The sequence below is a fragment of the Homo sapiens genome, chromosome 2, assembly GCF_000001405.40.
Source record: "Homo sapiens chromosome 2, GRCh38.p14 Primary Assembly".
Lineage (NCBI taxonomy): Eukaryota > Metazoa > Chordata > Mammalia > Primates > Hominidae > Homo > Homo sapiens.
In genome coordinates, this window is record NC_000002.12 from 1,199,907 (window position 1) to 1,219,367 (window position 19,461).

Consider the following 19,461-nt stretch of genomic DNA (forward strand, 5'->3'; position numbering starts at 1 on the left):
AAAGAATTAATATAGTAAAAATGACCATATTTCCTAAAGCATTTAACAGATTTAATGCAATCCCTATAAAAATACCAATAAAATTCTTTACAGAAATAGAAGATATAATTTTATTAATTTGTATGGAACCACAAGAGAGCATGAATAGCCAAAGCAATCTTAAGCAAAAAGAACAGAACTTAAGCAAAAAGGGCAGAATGACTTTGAAATACACTACAGAGCTATAGTAATGAAAAAAGCATGGTACTGGTATAAAAACAGACACAGAGACCAATAAAATATAACAGAAAACATAGAAATAAATACACATATTGGCAGCCAACTAATTTTTGACAAAGATACCAAGAACATACATTGGTGAAAGGATACTCTCTTCAATACATGGTTCTGGGAAAGCTGGATATTCATCTGCAGAAAAATGAAACTGGACCCCTATTTCTCACCATATTAAAAAATCAACTCAAAGTGGATTAAAAGCTTAAACGTGAGATCCAAAATTATAAAACTACTAGAAGTAAACATAGTAGAAACACTTCAGGACGCTGGTTTAGGAAAAGATTTTATGACTGAGACCTCAAAAGCACTGACAACAAAAACTTTTTTAAAATAAACAAATGGAACTGTATTAAACTAAAAAGCTTCTGCACAACAAAGGAATAATCAACAGAGTGAAGCAACAATATATGTAATGAGAAAAATATTTGCAAACTATTCATTCGACAAGAGACTAATATCCAGAATATACAAGGGACTCAACAGCAAAAACAATAAGAAAAACAAACTAATCCTATTAATACTGGGCAAAGTATCTGAATAGAAAATTCTCAAAAGAAGACATATGGCCTATAGGCCAACAAATGGCCAACGAACAGATATATGAAAAAAATGCTTAGCATTACTAATCATCAGGGAAATGAAAATCAAAATCATGATGAAATATTATCTTACCCCAGTTAGAATGGTTATTTTAAAAAAGATTTTAGAAAAATTACAGACTCTGGAAGGATGAGGAGAAAATAGAAGTCTTATACACTGTTTTTAGAAATGTACGTTAGTACAACCACTCTGGAAAACAGTATGGAAGCTCTTCAGAAAACTAAAAATAGAGCTACTATATGATTGAGCAATCCCACTAGTGGGTATTTATTGAAAGGAAAGGAAATCAGTATATCAAAGGGATACCTGTACCCACATGTTTATTGCATCATTATCCACAAGAGTAAGATGTGGTGTTAACCTAAGTGTCCATTATTAGGTGAATAGATAAGAAAAATATGGTATATATACACAATGAAATACTATTCAACCATAAAATAGTAAAATCCTTTCATCCACAGCAACATGGATGGAACTGGAGGTCATTATACTAAGTGAAATAACCCAGGCACAGAAAGACAAATATCACATGTTATCACTCATATAGTAAGAGCTAAAAAAGTTGATTTCATGAAGTAGAGGGTAGAAGGATGGTTATCAGAGGCTGGAAAGGGTGTGGGGGGAGGTGAAGAGAAGTTGGTTAATGGGTACAAACATACAATTAGATAGAAGGGATAAGTTCTATTGTTAACATAGTTAATAGAAATACATTATGTTGGGGACATTTCACATATTTTCTTCTAGGTATTTTGAAATGCATATTTCAAATGCTATATGGCTTATGGAGGAATATGCATTTGAAATGCATATTTCAAAATACCTAGAAGAAAATATCCGAAATGTTCCCAACACAATGAAATGATAAATGTTTGAGGTGATGGATTTTTAATACCTTGTTTTGATCATTATGCATCATATGCATGTATCAAAGTATCACATACACCCCAAAAATGTGTGAAAATACTATGTGTTAATAAAAATGGGCAAAACAAATAAAAGTAAATGAAATGAGAATCAGAGACTTGTGGGACACCTCCAGTGGTCTGAATTACATATCATGGAGTCCCAGAATGAGAATAAGAATGCAAAGAATAGGAGTGAACATGAAGCAAGATAGACACAAAGAAAACTATTTAGGCATATCACAGTCAAACTGTTGAAAACCAAGGAAGAAGAGAAGGTTTAGGAAGCAGCCAGATGATAAAAAAGCTTATTTTTAAAAATAAATTCAAGTTGAGAGAAAATGTTGCCAGTAGACCTACACTACAGGAAATACTAAAACATGCTCTTCAAGCTGGAAGGACATTAAACCACGTGGAAACTTGATACATAGGAAGAAGTGAAGAGCACTATGAATGGCAAATAGGTGGGTATGTATATAAAATATCCAATATAAACTGTTTCTTTTCTCAGTTTTCTTTCAGATAAATAATACTTTAAAGGACAAGATGATGACACAGTAAACTGGACTTGATAATGTATGTAGAAGTAAAAGATACAGCAAAAATAGAACCAAGGGCACAGTCAGTTGAGGTTTTTATATTTGTGAAGTGAGGTATAGGAAGATTGATGTGTCAATATGAAGTTTAAAGTGATACAATATTGACTCTAAAGAAACACTGATATATTAAGAATGCAATATTATGACCCCTACAGTCAATGAGGAGATAAAAGAGGATCGTGAAAAAAAAATGATTTACCCTTTATACAGAAGAATTTGTTCAACAGAGTAGAAAAAATCCAGGGGAACAAAAAGACCAATAGCAACATGTAATTAAGCCCAGCAGTATGAGAATCACATTAAATATAAATGGACTAAACATTTTAATTAAAAGGTAAAAGTTGTCAGACTGGATTTTTAAAAAAGCAACATCCAACTGTATGGTGTATACAGAAAATATAATTTAAATATAAAGATACCCACAGGTGGGAATTAGAAGAATGGAGAGCATGTATTTTATAAACAATAACCATAAAAATATCAGTCTATTAATGTTTGATGAGTGGTCTTCAAAATAAGCAATGTTCCCAAGAGAAACATTTTATTATGATTTAAAAATAATATGAGTTCATCAGGAAAACATAATAATTGTAAATATGGTATGTACCTTATAACAGAGCTCCCAAATACAAACCAAAAACTGGCAGAGATGGGAAAAACACAGAGAAATCCACAATCAAAATGGGAGATTTTAATATTTTATGCTCAGTGTTGATAGGACGGATAGACAAAAACATTAGTAAAGATGTAGAAGAACTACACTACCTTATGAATCAACTGGGACCTCACTGACATTTATAGAGTCCTGGATCCAAAGTCTCCAGAATGCAATTTCTTTTCATGTGAGCATGGAACATTCAACAAGATAGATGGAATGCTGGGCCATGATCTACTACTTAGGACTAAAAAGATTTATACAAAACTCAAGTATCCTGCAACTGGTGAATTCTTTCAAATAAATAATATGTACACTTTTCTAACTCTTTCAGGAAATAGAGGAGGTTGAAATGAATCCCAGATAACTCTGTGAAACTGGGATAACACTGATAACCAAAACCTTCCACTGAGATTAAGAGTGACAAATGTTACACAGGCCGGGCACAGTGGCTCACACTTGTAATCCCAGCACTTTGGGAGGCAGAGGAGGGAGGGTCACTTGAGGCCAGGAGTTTGAGACCAGCCTGGCCAACATCATGAAACCCCATCTCTACTTAAAAAAAAAAAGCCAGGCATGGTGGTGCGTATCTGTAATCCCAGCTTCTCAGGAGGCTGGGGCACGAGAATTGTTTGAACCCAGGAAGCTGGGGTTGCAGTGAGCCGAGATCACACCATTGCACTCCAGTCTGTGCAACAGAGTGAGACCTTGTCTCAAAAACAAACAAAAAAAAAAATATATATATATATATATGTGTGTGTGTGTGTGTGTGTGTATGTGTGTATATGTATATGTATATATATGGACCAATAGCCCTCATGAATGTAGATGCAGAAATTCTTCAACAACATATTAACAAATCGAAAGAAGGATCATGTATCATGAAAAAAATGGGGCTTATTTCAGGAATGCAAGCTTCGTACAACATTCAAAATCCAAATTTAGATGACAGCATAGCAACGTTATTTATAATATCCTCAAGCAACAATCAGATCTTTTTCAACAGGTGAATGGATAAAAATGAATAATTTGCTGACACACACATTAACATGGATGCATCTTCCAGGCTTTATGCTGAGAGAAGAAAGGTTTACACACAAGTGATAGTGCATCATTCGATTAATACCGAGTTATAAAGCAGCAAAACTAGTCTATAACAGCAGAAACCAGATCAGTGACTACCTTGGGCTGGAGGGATTGCCTGCAAACGGGCACAGAGGAAGTATCATGGGGGTAGGTGTTATGTGGATGAGGTAGAAATACTCTGTTTCATAATTTGGATTTGGGCTGCATGGGCTATATATATTTGACAAAACTCATCAAACTGTGCACTTAAAATCTGCACGTTATTGTATGCCATTTATGCCTCAATACAGTTCAGTTACAAACAAAAAAAGTGCAAAGCTTTTCAGTGATTCACTGTAGAAAATACAGCAACATGTAAAAAGTTGGCTTCAAACCTCTTATTTAAACACAAAGTATTAAAACACCAAGTGTATGGTGATGCCTCTCTTATCTGTAGTTTTGCTTTCCTCAGTTTCAGTTACCTACAATCAACCACATTCTGAAATATTACATGGAAAATTCCAGAAATAAACAATCATAAGTTTTAAATTGTGCACATTCTGAGTAGCTGATGAAACCTTGTGCACACACTGCTCCATCCCCTTATCACAAGGAGACGGAGGAGTACAGTAAATAAGCTCTTTATAGAGAGACCACATTCTCATCACGTTCTTTACAGAATAGCGATGTAATTCCTCTATTGTATTAGCAGTTGTTAATCTCTTACGGGGCCTAATTTAGAAATTAAACTTTATTATAAGTGTGTGTGTATAGGAAAAAAGCATAGTATATAACTATACGGTTTGGTACTACGCACAGTTTTCAGGCATTCACTGGGAGTCTTTTTTATATTCAAGAAATGCTTATTATTAAAGCAGAAAGGCTCAGAAGCCTCCTGAAAGCAAAGATTTGTCTTCAGATTCCACTTTTTATTATCTGTGATCTAAAAATATTATTTTCTTGTATGTCTTTAAAAATTATTATGTGCAGTATGATCTTAACTTTTAAAAACCAAATAGAAAAAGACCATGAGAAATATACAAAATGGGTGATAAGGTTTTTTTTAACCTTTTTATATTTCCCATCTTTTCTAGAATGTGGTTGTATTTCTATGATAATCAGAGAACGTAGACTTAAGAGTGTGCTCCGAACACTACTTTGTGTCCATACATACATGCCTTGAGGAGGCAAAAATGCTGGGATGATACACAGTTTATATTAAACTGGGAACCTTGTAAGTGGTTGAAATATTTGGAGGCTTTTGCTTTCATCTACTTTTATTCATTTCCAGTAACTTTATAAAGAGTATGTTAAAAGTACTCAATTTTTCTCGAGTTTTCAAAATGCACCCATCTGGGCACAGTGCCCTCTAGAGATCCACCTCCATTCAGAATGTTTATCTTGTGAGTGTTGCAGATCTCAGGACGAAATCACTTTTTGTCAACCCCAAAGAACCAGAGCTGGGAGAATGCAGAGTCGGGGAGCTTATGCTTGCATGTCTGAGATGAAGACTGTCTTGAAAACTTCTAAAATAACCTCACAAGTTCCTTCTTGGGGACTGCAACAATCTGAATACAATGCTTTAGAAAGAGCACCTGCCCAGTGACCTGATGCCAATTCTTGCTTTGAGTCTCTGAACCTGATGGCCTTCATCTCCAGGCAGCTCATGTGAACATCGCTGCCAGTACAGGCTCCCCCTCGCCCTCCATTCTTCGAAACACGTGTGGCTTGCGTTTTTGGTTATAATCCATTCTTCTAATTCTTGTATACATTCAGTGTATTGGGAAATGTTTTTCTCTAATTTTTTTGATTGACAATCTTATAATAACTGTGGCATCTCATAGTAAATGCCGTGTGAGTTGGTTGGTCAGTCACATATAAATGCTACAGGATGGCTTTTGGGGGTCAGTTCTTTGGCAACTTTTGACTACATCATAAATTAAACAGAGGAAAACATGTTCTGTTTTGTTCCTCATCTAAAATTGGTTTCCACTGCCATGGATAGATGCAGATGCTTTTGCAACCCTGGAAATGCTGAGCTCTGCATTCCTGTTGGAAGCAGCAAGATTACAAAAAGCTGACAGGTACAAGCTATAGGGTTTGTGATCAGCTGGTAGGAACATGCCTCATTATATCTGCAAGCTATTGAGTTGATGTAAGATTTGGGACCACGATGAGAATCACGAGGCTCTGCTTTCTGCAGCACATGAACTCCCTCAGAGTGGGGTTTGCTCAAATGAGCAGCACCTACCTTGAGCTGACTTTGGAGATGCCTGTGTGGAAGGTGGGCACAGGACCAGAAGGCCTTTCCGGGCACCCTGCACATACTCTTCTCCTAAGGAGAGGATGCTGGAGGCATTTCCTCCAATGTCAGTGCCAGCTTGTGACTGCAGAGAGCAAAGAGCTGGGTGTGCTGGGGCAGCTGGAGAGGAAGGAGCTGCAGAGGGGTAACACTGGCATGTTCCTTCTCCTTGGCCCTCAGTAGATGGGAGCATTTGACCCCGCTGAGCTAAGCATTAGCTCACAGAGACCTGACTTCTCCCCTAGCTGCTAGGTTATAGAAAATATTTTCTCCAGATTGTGCAAAATACTTTTCCAGAGGAAAGTACATTCAGTGGGACATGAAATTCAGGGTTTATCAGTGGCCTCCAAGTGAAAAGCGTCCTATGAAAGTCCACAGTCTGGAGCCAAAGCTGCACCTACAAGCTCTGCATGCAGCCTGATTTTATAAAGAAAAAATGGGTTTTCTCAGTGGGGAATTGCTTTTGATCCTACACTTTTCAAAAGTAATCTTCAACTGATTTTATGAAAGGATGCATACTATTTTGTTTATTTAAATATTGTGCATTGTATAGTAGAATCCTCTATGCAATTTTAAGTGGTGGTTTTGCAGTATAATTCTAGTACTTCTGCAAACAGATAGCACACTGTAGCAAACCTTTGAATCAGCAACAAGGGGTACAGAGTATGTGGCTAAACACACAGCAGCATTACTAGGATGAACTCCTATGGCACAGATTTATTATTGTGCATGCAAATACCACAGTTAAAATTAAATGTATAGGGATAATTAAAACCTTGCCACAGTATGCAGTCATTTATAATGAATTCCTACACAGGTTGCAGTAGTCTATGTAGACAAATGGTATTTCAGCAAAGCTAATATGAAATACACATCAGGTGATCAGAAGGTATTTCAGTGTCATTCTCGTGCATGCACCAAAGGTGAATCTCTTACCAGAAGTTAGAGCCCAACAGAAAAGGGTAACCATGAATGAATATCTGTAAAATTCAGCTCAGAGTTCAAATGTTCCAATATTGCCACTTTTGCTATTGAGCTATTGGCCATGGAATTAATAAATATAGAGAAACAATGTTAGGATGATAACCCAAACCCAACCTCTGGCTATGTGAGTTTTTTTTTCTGCCTTCAGACACATCTGTAGATGGCGATGCCGCCTCTTCTGTATGACGCTCCAACCTCCCTCAGTGTCCATTCCCCCATCCCACCTGCGTTGAGGGAGAGGCCTTTCATCTAAAATCCTAGGGCAGGGATGCAAAGATGATTTGAGGTGGAGGAGAATGAGAAGGGGGCTTATATATTAGCACAGACGAAAAATAAATCACACACTCTTTCTGTTAAGCGTAAGCATTGTGTAGAGAGTCGTATGGAAACCTCATCCACGTGGAAGCGAAGCCTCCAAGGTTCCAGGGATCTCATGAGAAACCCTGGGGAACCGCCCCCCGTCTCCTCTCACCGCAAACCAACCAGAGCCAGTTCAGCGGCACAGAACTGTTAGGGACATTATTTTTGGGCAGGTAAAGCTGACTGCAGAGGAGACTTGGGGTGGATAGGGTTGGCTCTTTAAGTGGTGGATTAACCAATGTGTAAGGTATGCATTTATAAGGAATGAAGTCTCAAATAACGTTCTAATACATAGTGAACATCCAGCAGCTTAACACTTACGAACAAGCAAGTATGAAAGACACTTCATGCCACCCTTCTGAGCCTCCAGAAAGCCCAGGTCTGTTTTCTCACGGCGCCCCTGCTTACAGAAAGTCTTCTTGCAGACAGATGCTCGGATTCCAGGTGCAACAGTCCCTGGACCCTATGGTCCACAGAGCCCGGAGCTCAGGGCTGGTGCTTCCCGTGGACACTGAAGCAAATTAAAACACCAGAAATGCCTTGTGAGTGTGGGGCTTGCCTGTGAGCGCGGGTTACACCTGTGAGTGTGGGGCACACCTGTGAGTGTGAGGCACGCCCATGAGTGTGGGGCACACCTGTGAGTGTGAGGCACATCTGTGTGAGGCACGTCCATGAGTGTGGGGCACACCTGTGAGGCGCGTTCTTGCCGGTCGCTGGGGCGGCAGCACCTGGTTCATTCCCAGCGAGCCCGGCTCTGAGATCAAGATGGCTCAGAGAGCTCAGGCTCCTCTTTGAGAACGTGGAATGGGAGGTGGGTGGATCCTGTGGCCCAGAACCTACCTCCGACCCTTTCGTTGTTGGACTCTTGCGGGGCTGCTGCGTGGTGCTGTGGTGGTTGCATGGCTCCTTCACCTTCCCAGACGGGCTTCCTGTCGAGAGCCGCAGACCCGACGAGGCCTCACCACTTTTCCATCTGGGCCCGGCTCTGACCACAGCACAGAGTCGTTGCTACCGATAACAAGGCAGACCCATGACCTGGACGCCCGTTGGAATGTCATCAGCCATTCTATCGTGTGTCTCTCGACCTAAACTCGCTGAGTGGACATTTCAGGTTGTTTTGGTTTTGCGTCTTTCTCACGGTCTCTATGCACTGAGCCCAGTGCTGTGTCTACAACTTTCCCTCCAGATTTAGGCCCCTCTTCTCCTTCTCCTTCCCTTCAGCTTCTTCTCTTTCGTGCAATTTGCAGTTGGAAAACAGCGGGAGAAAATGTCTTAAATCCGGGTAGAAGAGCACTTCTTTCTTTCCAGATCTTTCAGAAACAACCTCACTTGCTTTTTTATCAGTTGAAATGTGTTGGACTTGAGTTCTGTGTTCCAGGTGCCTGCAGATGCCTCTCCCCGCATGCAGCCTCCTCTGCCTCTGTGACGCTTCATTCTCCTTTCTTCTGTACAGGCCCCATCGTCACCTTCCTCGCCCATAGCTAAGGACCCGAGGTATGAGAAGCGCTGGCTGGACACCTTGTCCGTGCCTCTGTCCATGGCTCGCATCTCAAGGTACAAAGCCGGAACGGAAAAATTAAGGTGTGTGACCATTGTCTGAGATGGGAAACTTTGATGAACCCCGTGCACTTTTGCCAGTTCCTACAGGCCGCTGGTTACTCCAGAGCGCTTGACTGTGACATTAGCAAGTGTGCGTGCTGTCTTCTGGTAGATTTAGCATTTGGAATAAACAAGTTAAAGATAAAGAGAAAATGAGAAGTCAGGTATCAGAACAGTGAATTTATTACTAAGAATAGTTCTATCTAGGGCAAGGTGGCATGGTTACTTCTCATGAACCAGTCATTAGTAAAAGAAATTCTATTTTTAGTTTTAAATGCTAACAGAATTAGACTGGAAATAAAGACTGACTTCTTGTCCAAGTCTCAGATGTTTTTAGAAATGCCACTTAAACTCTGTGGGCCTCTTTTTCTTCAGTAATAAAATGAGAGGGTTAGACCAGCACCTATGTTAAATAAATGCTAACTAGCTTGTGAGTTTGGTTAATTAAATAATTTCAAAGATGTAACTATAAAAGTTGATGTTTCTGTAGCTTTTCGAGTAGAAAAATGTATGCTTGGCTAATTGTGCTATTTAATTACTGTGGAAAGGCCCACAAGTAATGAGTTGGTGAATTTCCTTTTTCTGTTCTTTAGACAGATGTGTAGAAATAGCAAACCTTCTGTCAGCAAAGGAATTTTTTTTAATTGAGCACTGTACTTCCCACAATGTGTGTGCATCTGTGTGAATGTGTGTGGCTATAGTGTGTGTGGTCTGTGTGAATGTGTGTGGCCGTGGTGTGTGCGGTCTGTATGAATGTGTGTGGCTATAGTATGTATGATGGGCAGACAGTACAACCTGAAATTCCCTTTACTGGTCCTTAAATGGAAGGAAAAGTCTAGCAAACATTGCTTTTCATGAAGCGTTAGAATTAGGTTTTCTATATTAATTGGTATTAGCTGTACAGCCTCTCACAAAGGATGTTCATGTTTGCGGAAGGATGTTTATGATCCCATTGCAGGAACAGGGACAGTAAGCTTGATTTTCAGATTTGTGCCCATCTTTGGTAAAGAGAGACAAACCTAGTAAAAGATGTGTGTATTGCTAGAGAAATGGAAAGACAGGTAGGTGAATATGGGTGGATAGATAGATGATAGATAAAGTGGATGGATGGATGGATAGGTAGATAGACAGACAGACAGATAGATAATATTCTGCATAATAATGTTTTGGTCAAGGACAGACCACATATGCCATGGTGGTCCCATTAGATTGTAAAGGAGCTGAAAATCCCTACTGCCTGGTGACATCAACCATCGTAACCTCACAGTGAAAGATATGACTCACGTGTTTGTGGTGATGCTGACGTAGACAAACCTACTGCACTGCCAATCATATAAAAGGAAACAGTAATGTCCTGGACCTTCACATTCACTCACTCCTCACTCATGGCTTCACCCAGAACAACTTCCAGTCCTGAAGGCTCTATTCATGGTGAGTTTCCTGCACAGGTGTGTCATTTTTTAACTTTTATACCCTATTTTTACTTTCACTTTTCTAAGTTTAGATGTGCTTAGATACACAGATACTTGGTTTTGTGTATTTAGATACACAAATACGATTGTGTTACAGTTGTGTAAGTATTCAGCATAGTCGCATGCTGTACTGGTTTGTAGCCTAGGACCAATAGGCTATACCATGTAGCCTAGGTGTGTTGTAGCCTGTATCATCTAGGTTTCTGTAAGTGCACCCTACGATGTAAACACAATGACAAAATCACCTAATGACACAGCTCTCAGAATGTATCCCCATCATTAAGTAACATCTGACTGTAGATATATAGATGATTTATTGCAGTCATAGAGGGGCTGAAATATAGATAGATTACAGAGATACAGATAGATGGATAGGTAAATAGCCATTTGTAAAATATAGCAGAATGTTTTAACAGTTCGTGCTCTAACTGTGAATTCCTTTTAAAGTGTGTGCTTGTGGCTTTCTTACAACATGTTTCTTTGGTTTGGGGTTAATTTGGGAACAAAGTAGAGATCTGGGCATGTATCTCTCTTGACAAAGAGGGAAATAGTGCATGAAATGACATTTGTCTATTAGCGTATTTGAATTAAATGGGTTTTTAGAAAAATAGAGCCACTGAACTTCATTACACACTTCCTAGCCCATCTGCCATTGAATGTGATGAAGATTGGCTGTTCTAGCTTTGGTTTAAGGATGAATTCAGGTCATAAGATGGAAATGTCTCCTACTCTGAGGACAGGATAGGGTCTCTACTTGTATTAGTCCATTTTCATACTACTGTGTAGAAAAACCTGAGACTGGGTAATTTATAAAGAAAAAGAGGTTTAATGGACTCACAGTTCTACATGACTGGGGAGGCCTCACAATCATGTCAGAAGGCAAAGGAGGAGCAAAGGCATGTCTTACATGGCGGCAGGGAAGAGCATGTGTGCAGGGAAACTGCCCTTTATAAAACCATCAGATCTCGTGATTCTTATTCACTACCATGAGAACAGCATGGAAAAAACCCACCCCCATGATTCAATTACCTCCCACCAGGTCCCTCCCATGACACGTGGGAATTATGGGAGCTACAATTCAAGATGAGATTTGGGCAAGAGTACAACCAAACCATATCACTAGTAATTCTTAACTAAATGCAGACTTGATAACCCATTCTGGCAGCTTGAGAACATGTAGAAACACATGTGTTATTCTTGGTGACAAAATATTTTGACCCACTAAGCCATTCATACCACAATCATTGGGATAAATACATGACATCCAGGAGAATGAAATGGAACCCAAGAAGTCAGCCGACTGCCTGAGCCTCAGATTGTTTCTGTTACAAAAGCTATCACACACTGATTTGGTTTGGATCTGTGTCCCCACCCAAACCTCATGTGGAAATGTATTCCCCAGTGTTGGAGGTGGGGCCTGGTGGGATTAGATCATGGGGCAGATTCTCATGAATGGGTTAGCAAAATCTCCCTTGGTGCTGTGCTTCTGACAGTGAGTGGGTTCTCCTGATATCTGGTCATTTAAAACTGTGTGGCACCTCCCCACTCTCTCTCTTTCTCTTGCTCCTGCTCCTACCATGTAAGGTGTCTCGCTCACCTTCTGCCTTCCACCATGATTGGAAGTTTCCTGAGGCTTTCCTAGAAGCAGAAGCTGCCATGCTTCCTATGTAGACTACAGAACTGTGAGCTGGTTAAGCCTCTTTTCTTTATAAATTACCCATTCTCAGGTATTTCTTTACAGCAGTGCAAGAACGGACCAATACACACTGTAACAGCAAACTGAAAGGTTTATAATTTTTCATAAGACAAGAATATTTTGTTTTATAAAGGCAAATATGTCTTACTAGCTTGCTGACTGTTTTATGATTTTTAAGCAAGATTTAGTATGGGCAGGAAAGGGCAAATAATAAAACGCATAAGGGCTTAAGCTATGAATTTTATAAAACCTGTTTGTTCTGAAACATATTTGTGCAAAGTCCCATTTAGAGGCTGAGATGCTGTTCTTAGCTCCACCTTACCTGTAAGCTCCTCAGGTCTCATTTTAAATGGATGAAAAAGAGAAGAGACTTGGGTGTGTTGATCCCAGTGGATGGAGTTCTAAAATTCCTGTGTATCTTCTCCTGAGGGCTCCTCAGTCTAAGGAGGGTAAGGAATAAGTTTAGAAATTGTCAATTCTAAATCAAACAGGTTTTAGAATCTTAAAACAAAAGCTGTAAGCTGTAGCCCAGGAGGAACCTTTAGATATCATATAATGGAAACATAAATAGGATGAAGAGGTTGGAAGCCAGCATCCTGTGGGTGTCCCCTCTGACTCTGTCCTTGTCCAAGTATAGGACCTCAATCTATAACCACTACCTTCTGGGTCCTTTCTAAAAATTGACAAATAATAATCATATATAATTAATGTACAATGTTATGTTTCAATACATGTTTGCATTATGGAATAATTAAATCAAGCTACTTGGCATGTCAGTAACATCACATGCTTAGCATTTTTGTAGTGAAAATATTTAAAATCTACTCTTTTAGCAATTTTGAAATATACAATACAGTACTTACTCACTTAACATCATTGATTGGTCCTCAGAAACTGCAACTTGGAGTGAAAAGATGTATAAAGAAACCAATTTTCCCATAGGCTAATAGCTATAAATAAGAGTTAGATTCTTACAGCATATTTTTGGTCACAAAATATCACCAAACTTCTAAATAAAGACCAAAACACTTCAAATATTAAACATTGAAATAAATATGAGCTTTGCATACATTTAAGAAAGATTAATAAAAACAAGTAAGATAATTATTTGCCCAATTATTTCATTCAGGGTTGGGGAGACTGGAGTCTGTGCTGGAAGCTCAGGGCTCAAGCTGGGCAACAGCCCTGGACAGGATGCCATCCCACTGCAGGATGGCTCACACATGCCCACAGCCACTCAGCCTGGGACCATTTGGACACAGCAATTAACCTTACCTGCATGTCTTTGTGGGGAGGAAACCAGAGTGCTTAGAAAAACCCATGCAGACAGACACAGAGCAAACATGCAAACCTCACAAAGATATTGTTTCTTCTGTCACCTGTGCTTTTGGGTCATATTCAAGAAATCATTAACCAAATAAAAGTCGTGGAGCTTTTCCCTATGTTTTCTTTTAGTAGTTTTATAGTTTCAGGTCTTACATTTAACTCCTTAATCCATTTTGATTTTTGCATATGGTGTGAGATAAGCTTCTGGTTTCATTCTCCCACATGTGGATATCCAGTTCTCTGAACACCATATATGGAAGAGACTGTCATTTCCTCATGATATGTTCCTGGCACTTTTGTTGAAATCAATTGACCATAGATCTGTGGGTTTATTTCTGGCTTTTTATTCTGTTCCATTGGCCAATGTACCTGTGTTTATGCTTGTGCCTTGCTGTTTTGATTATTATAGCTTTATAATATGTTTTGAAATCAGGTAGTGTGATGCCTCCATCTTTGCTTTTTATGCTCAAGATAGTTTGGATATTCAGAGTGTTTTATGGTTCCATATACATTTTAGGATTGTGTTTTCTATTTCTTTGAAAAATATCATTGGAATTTGATAGAGACTTCATAGAATTTTGTATATCATTTTAAGTAGTATGGTATCTAAACAACATTAACTCTTCCAATCCATGAATGCAGGATATCTTTCCATTTTTGTGTGTCATCTATAATTTCCTTTATCAATGTATATTTTTCATTGTACAGATCTTTCATCTCTTTCGTTAAATTTACTCCTAGGTATTTTATATTTTTATACTACTGTAAATGGGATTGTTTTATTAATTTCTTTTTTGTATAGTTCATTGTTAGTGAACAAAATACTACTGATTTCTGAGTGTTGTTTTGTATCCTGCAAATTTTCTAAATTCCTTTATTAAGTCTAACAGTTTTTTTGAGTCTTTAGAGTTTTCTATATATAAGCTTATGTCATCAGCAAACAGAGACAATTTCACTTCTTCCTTTTCTATTTAGATGTGTTTTATTTCTTTTTCATAATTGTTCTTGTTAGCACTTCCAGTACTATGTTGTATAGATGTGGTGAGAGTGCACATATTTATCTTGTTCTGGATTTTAAGGGAAAACCTTTCAGCTTTTCATCATTAAGTATGATATTAGACGTGGGCTTGTCACACGTGTTCTTTATTGTGTTGAAGTACATTCCCTTCATACCTAATTTGTTGAGAGCTTTGATGATGAAAGGATAATGAATTTTGTCAAATGTTTTTCTGCATCTATTGCTACAATGTTATGGTTTTTGTCTTTCATTTTGTTAATATGGTGAATTAGATTTATTGATTTTGCATGTGTTGAACCATGCTTGCATCCAAGGCATGAATCCCACTTGATCATGGTGACTGATCTTTTTAATGTGCTATTGAATTCAGGTAACTAGTATTTTGATGAAGATGTTTGCACGTATGTTCATCAAGGATATTGGCCTGTAATTTTTGTTTCTTGTAAGGTTCTCATCTGGCTTTGGTATTAGGATAATGCTGGCCTCATAAAGGTGAGTTTGGAAGTGTTCCCTACTCTTCAATTTTTTGTGAAGAATTTAAGAAGAATTGGTATAAGTTTTTCACTATTTATTTGGTAGAATTCAGCAGTGAAGACATCTGGTCTTCAGCTTTTCTTTGATGAAAGATTTATTATTTTTGTTAATTATTATTACTGATTTGATCTCCTTACCTGTTATTAGTTTATTTAGATGATCTGTTTCCTCTTAATTCCATTGTGATAGGTTGTATGTTTCTAGGAATTTTTTTTAACATTTTTAAAAGCGTGTTTTACACTAATTCTTTTTTTTCTTTTTTTTCTTTTTTTTATTATACTTTAAGTTCTAGGGTACACGTGCACAACGTGCAGGTTCGTTACATATGTATACATGTGCCATGTTGGTGTGCTGCACCAATTAACTCATCATTTACATTATGCATATCTCCTAATGCTATCCCTCCCCCCTCCCCCAACCCCATGACAGGCCCTGGTGTGTGATGTTCCCCTTCCTGTGTCCAGGTGTTCTCATTGTTCAATTCCCACCTATGAGTGAGAACATGCAGTGTTTGGTTTTTTGTCCTTGTGATAGTTTGCTGAGAATGATGGTTTCCAGCTTCATCCATGTCCCTACAAAGGACATGAACTCATCATTTTTTATGGCTGCATGGTATTTCATGGTGTATATGTGCCACATTTTCTTAATCCAGTCTATCAGTGATGGACATTCGGGTTGGTTCCAAGTCTTTGCTATTGTGAATAGTGCCACATTGAACATACGTGTGCATGTGTCTTTATAGCAGCATGATTTATAGTCCTTTGGGTATATACCCAGTAATGGGATGGCTGGGTCAAATGCTATTTCTAGTTCTAGATCCTTGAGGAATCACCACACTGTCTTCCACAATGGTTGAACTAGTTTACAGTCCCACCAACAGTGTAAAAATGTTCCTATTTCTCCACATCCTCTCCAGCACCTGTTGTTTCCTGACTTTTTAATGATTGCCATTCTAACTGGTGTGAGATGGTATCTCATTGTGGTTTTGATTTGCATTTCTCTGATGGCCAGTGATGATGAGCATTTTTTCATGTGATTTTTGGCTGCATAAATGTCTTCTTTTGAGAAGTGTCTGTTCATGTCCTTCGCTCACTTTTTGATGGGGTTGTTTGTTTTTTTCTTGTAAATTTGTTTGAGTTCTTTGTAGATTCTGGATATTAGCCCTTTGTCAGATGAGTAGATTGCAAAAATTTTCTCCCATTCTGTAGGTTGCCTGTTCACTCTGATGGTAGTTTCTTTTGCTGTGCAGAAGCTCTTTAGTTTAATTAGATCCCATTAGTTTAATTAGATCCCATTTGTTGATTTTCTCAGGTTATCTAATCTGTTGACATATAATTGTCCAGGGCCCATTCAGCATCTACAGTGGGATGGGAACCCACCAGCATGCTGGAGGCACAGACAGGAGAGTCCCTCTGGGTCCTTGTGTGAACAGTAGTAATGTGGTTAGGCTTTGTGTCTCCACCCAAATATCATCTTGAATTGTAATCTTCATGATCCCACGTGCCTAGGGAGAGACCTGGTGGGAGATGATTGGATCATGGGGGTAGTTCCCCCATGTTGTTCTCATGATAGCGAGTGAATTCTCATCAGATCTGATGGTTTTGTAAGGGGCTCTTTCCCTTTCACTCCTCACTCTTCTCTCTCCTGCTGCCATGTGAAAAAGGGCCAAGCTTGCTTCCCCTTCACCCTTCACCCTTCATTGTTGCTGTGGGGAATATGAGCAGGGGGACTTCCCATTCCACCATGTGCCGACATCACCCTTGGGTCTTTTCTTTTGTTAAGTAATTAGACCAATGATGGTTGAGGTTCCTTAGTTTTCTCAGTTCTTTTTTTAAAAAAAAAAGACTATAAAGAGTAGATGCATACTGAAGTCTAATTCATTTTAAATATGTATTTATATGATACAAATCACATGTAATAAGTGCAACTGTTTTTATTTCCATTTGCCTCCAACATGTTACAAGCCCGTGCACTGGCAGAAGTTATTTTCCTCCATTCCATTGTCAGATCAAGCTTATACTCAAGTGGTTCTTTGGTAAAATGGGAACTATGCGTTTGGATAAATTATGTGTCATTGTGAATGAGGATTAAATCATTGGCTACACAGTACGAGAAAAGATTGTTCACTAAGAATTTGAAGGGAGAATATTGAGATGAAACTAAAAAAGACATAAAAACATAAGCATTCTTCCTAATGGACATCAGCAGATGCCACAGAGTGGGGCTTTCCCTCAAGTTCTCCAACAGGAAAATAACCCCTGTCCTGTGACACTCGGTAGGTCGTTATGCAGCATCACAGGTAACTTAGCATAACCATGCGATCCTGACTACTGGCTTATATAGACATTATGTAGTCTACATTTCTATTATGTAGAAATGTAGTACATTGTATGTAGAAATGTATGTACATTTCTGTTATGTAGAAATGTCTGTTATGCAGACATTTCTCTGACATCAGGTGAAGAAAAGCATTGTTGATGGGGTGGCCATGGTGGTGGAGATGCTAGAGTTTTGTCTGTCTTTACCATATCAGTTTTCTATTGCCATGTAACAAACCTGTGCAAACTTAGCAGGTAACACAAGACTGTTTTATTATCTCACAGTCCTCATGGGTCAGGAGTCCGGCAGCTCCCGGCTGGTCCTCTGCTTGGGATCTCACCAGGCTGAAACCAAGGTGTCGGCTGGGCTGTGTTCCCATCTTCAAGGCTCACTCAGGGTTGCTGGCAGAATTCAGTCCCTTGACTTTATAGGACTCAGTTCCCCACCTTTGTCAGCCAAGGGCTGCTCTCCACCACCAGAGACCACCATGTTCATTGACATGGTCACCCTCTGCCCTCAAGCCAGCAGCAGGTAACAGGTAACCCCATAAGCCTCCAATCTATGACTTCCTTCACTCTGACCTCTAGACCCAGACGTAAAGGGCCATGTGTTCAGGCTGTACCCCTGCATAAATCTCCCTAACTCAAGGTCAGCTGAGTTGAGACGTTGATTGCATTTGCAGAATCCCTTCACAGAAACACCTAGTTTCTGTTGATTGAATAACTGGAGCAGATGTTTCCACCAAGGTCTGAGAACTGGGGGCTGCCTTAGAACTCTGCCTGCTCTAGTGTCTCAACCTCTGTTTCCCTCTGGAAAGCCCATAGCACGTCCACGCTTCTTAGAAATTCATCCTTTTAAAACAAAAGTGGCTTGGATGATGGTTGGCTGTTCTTCCACATGGTACCGTTGGACAAAGCTGGATTTGAGCCAGGCTCCTGCCCATAGCATGTGTGTTTCAGAAAATAGAGAGTGAAGAAATACTTAAGAACAAGAGAAATGTCTGTGCTTGAAAAGTATCCACAATCATTTTGCAAGTGAGGAAGCTTCACAAGAGGCTCAGAAAAGAGGAAGAGCTGTGGTGCCTCTGGGATGTGCCCCTGGGGAAGCAGGTGGTATGAAGGAATAGTACGGGGATAGGAACTAAGAGATTTCTAATCCTGCTTCACCCTCTTGGGGCCATGACCTAGGTAACTCATGGGGGCTCTTGTGATGGCTTCTTTGCTGGTTTAACCAAGTAGGGTGGGAGATGATATAATACTTTACTGCTTTCTAAGATAGTTTATGAAGGTAAGAAAAAATAAAACTGTACGTTTAAAGGAGGTTTGAAGCAGCAGGAGTTCAGTGATTTTTAATTGTGATGCGGTTTAGGTCTGGGTTTCCACCCAAATCTCATGTTGAAATATAATCCCCAGTGCTGGAGGTAGGTCCTGGTGGGAGGTGACTGGATCACGGGGCAGATTTCTCATGAGTGGTTTAGCACCCAACCCCTCGGTACTGTTGTGATAGTGAGTGAGTTCTCATGAGAACCAGCTGTTAAAAGTGTATGGCACCTGCCCTCTTTCCTTCCAACTCCTGCTATGCCCATGTCAAGTGCTGGCTCCCCCTTTGCCTTCCGCCATGATTGTAAGTTTCCTGAGGCCTCCCCAGAGTCCCAGCAGATGTCGCCATGCTTCCTGTACAACCTGTGCCACCAGAGCCAAGGAAGCCTCTTTTCCTTATAAATTATCCAGTCTTGCGTATTTCTCTATGGCAGT

General features: G+C 39.4%; 1 protein-coding gene across 16 annotated transcripts in view; it reads left to right on the top strand.

Moving 5' to 3' along the window:
- SNTG2 (syntrophin gamma 2) overlaps positions 1-19,461 on the top strand; it is a 416,765-nt gene that overhangs the window by 249,058 nt on the left and 148,246 nt on the right. For 14 of the 16 annotated variants that reach the window (NM_018968.4, XM_047444795.1, XM_017004362.1 and 11 more), the window contains one exon: positions 9,197-9,324. The exons of the other annotated variants lie outside the window; for them this stretch is intronic. In NM_018968.4, the coding sequence (NP_061841.2) occupies positions 9,197-9,324 (128 nt within the window). The remainder of the gene's footprint in view (positions 1-9,196; positions 9,325-19,461) is intronic. 16 annotated transcript variants of the gene reach the window in all.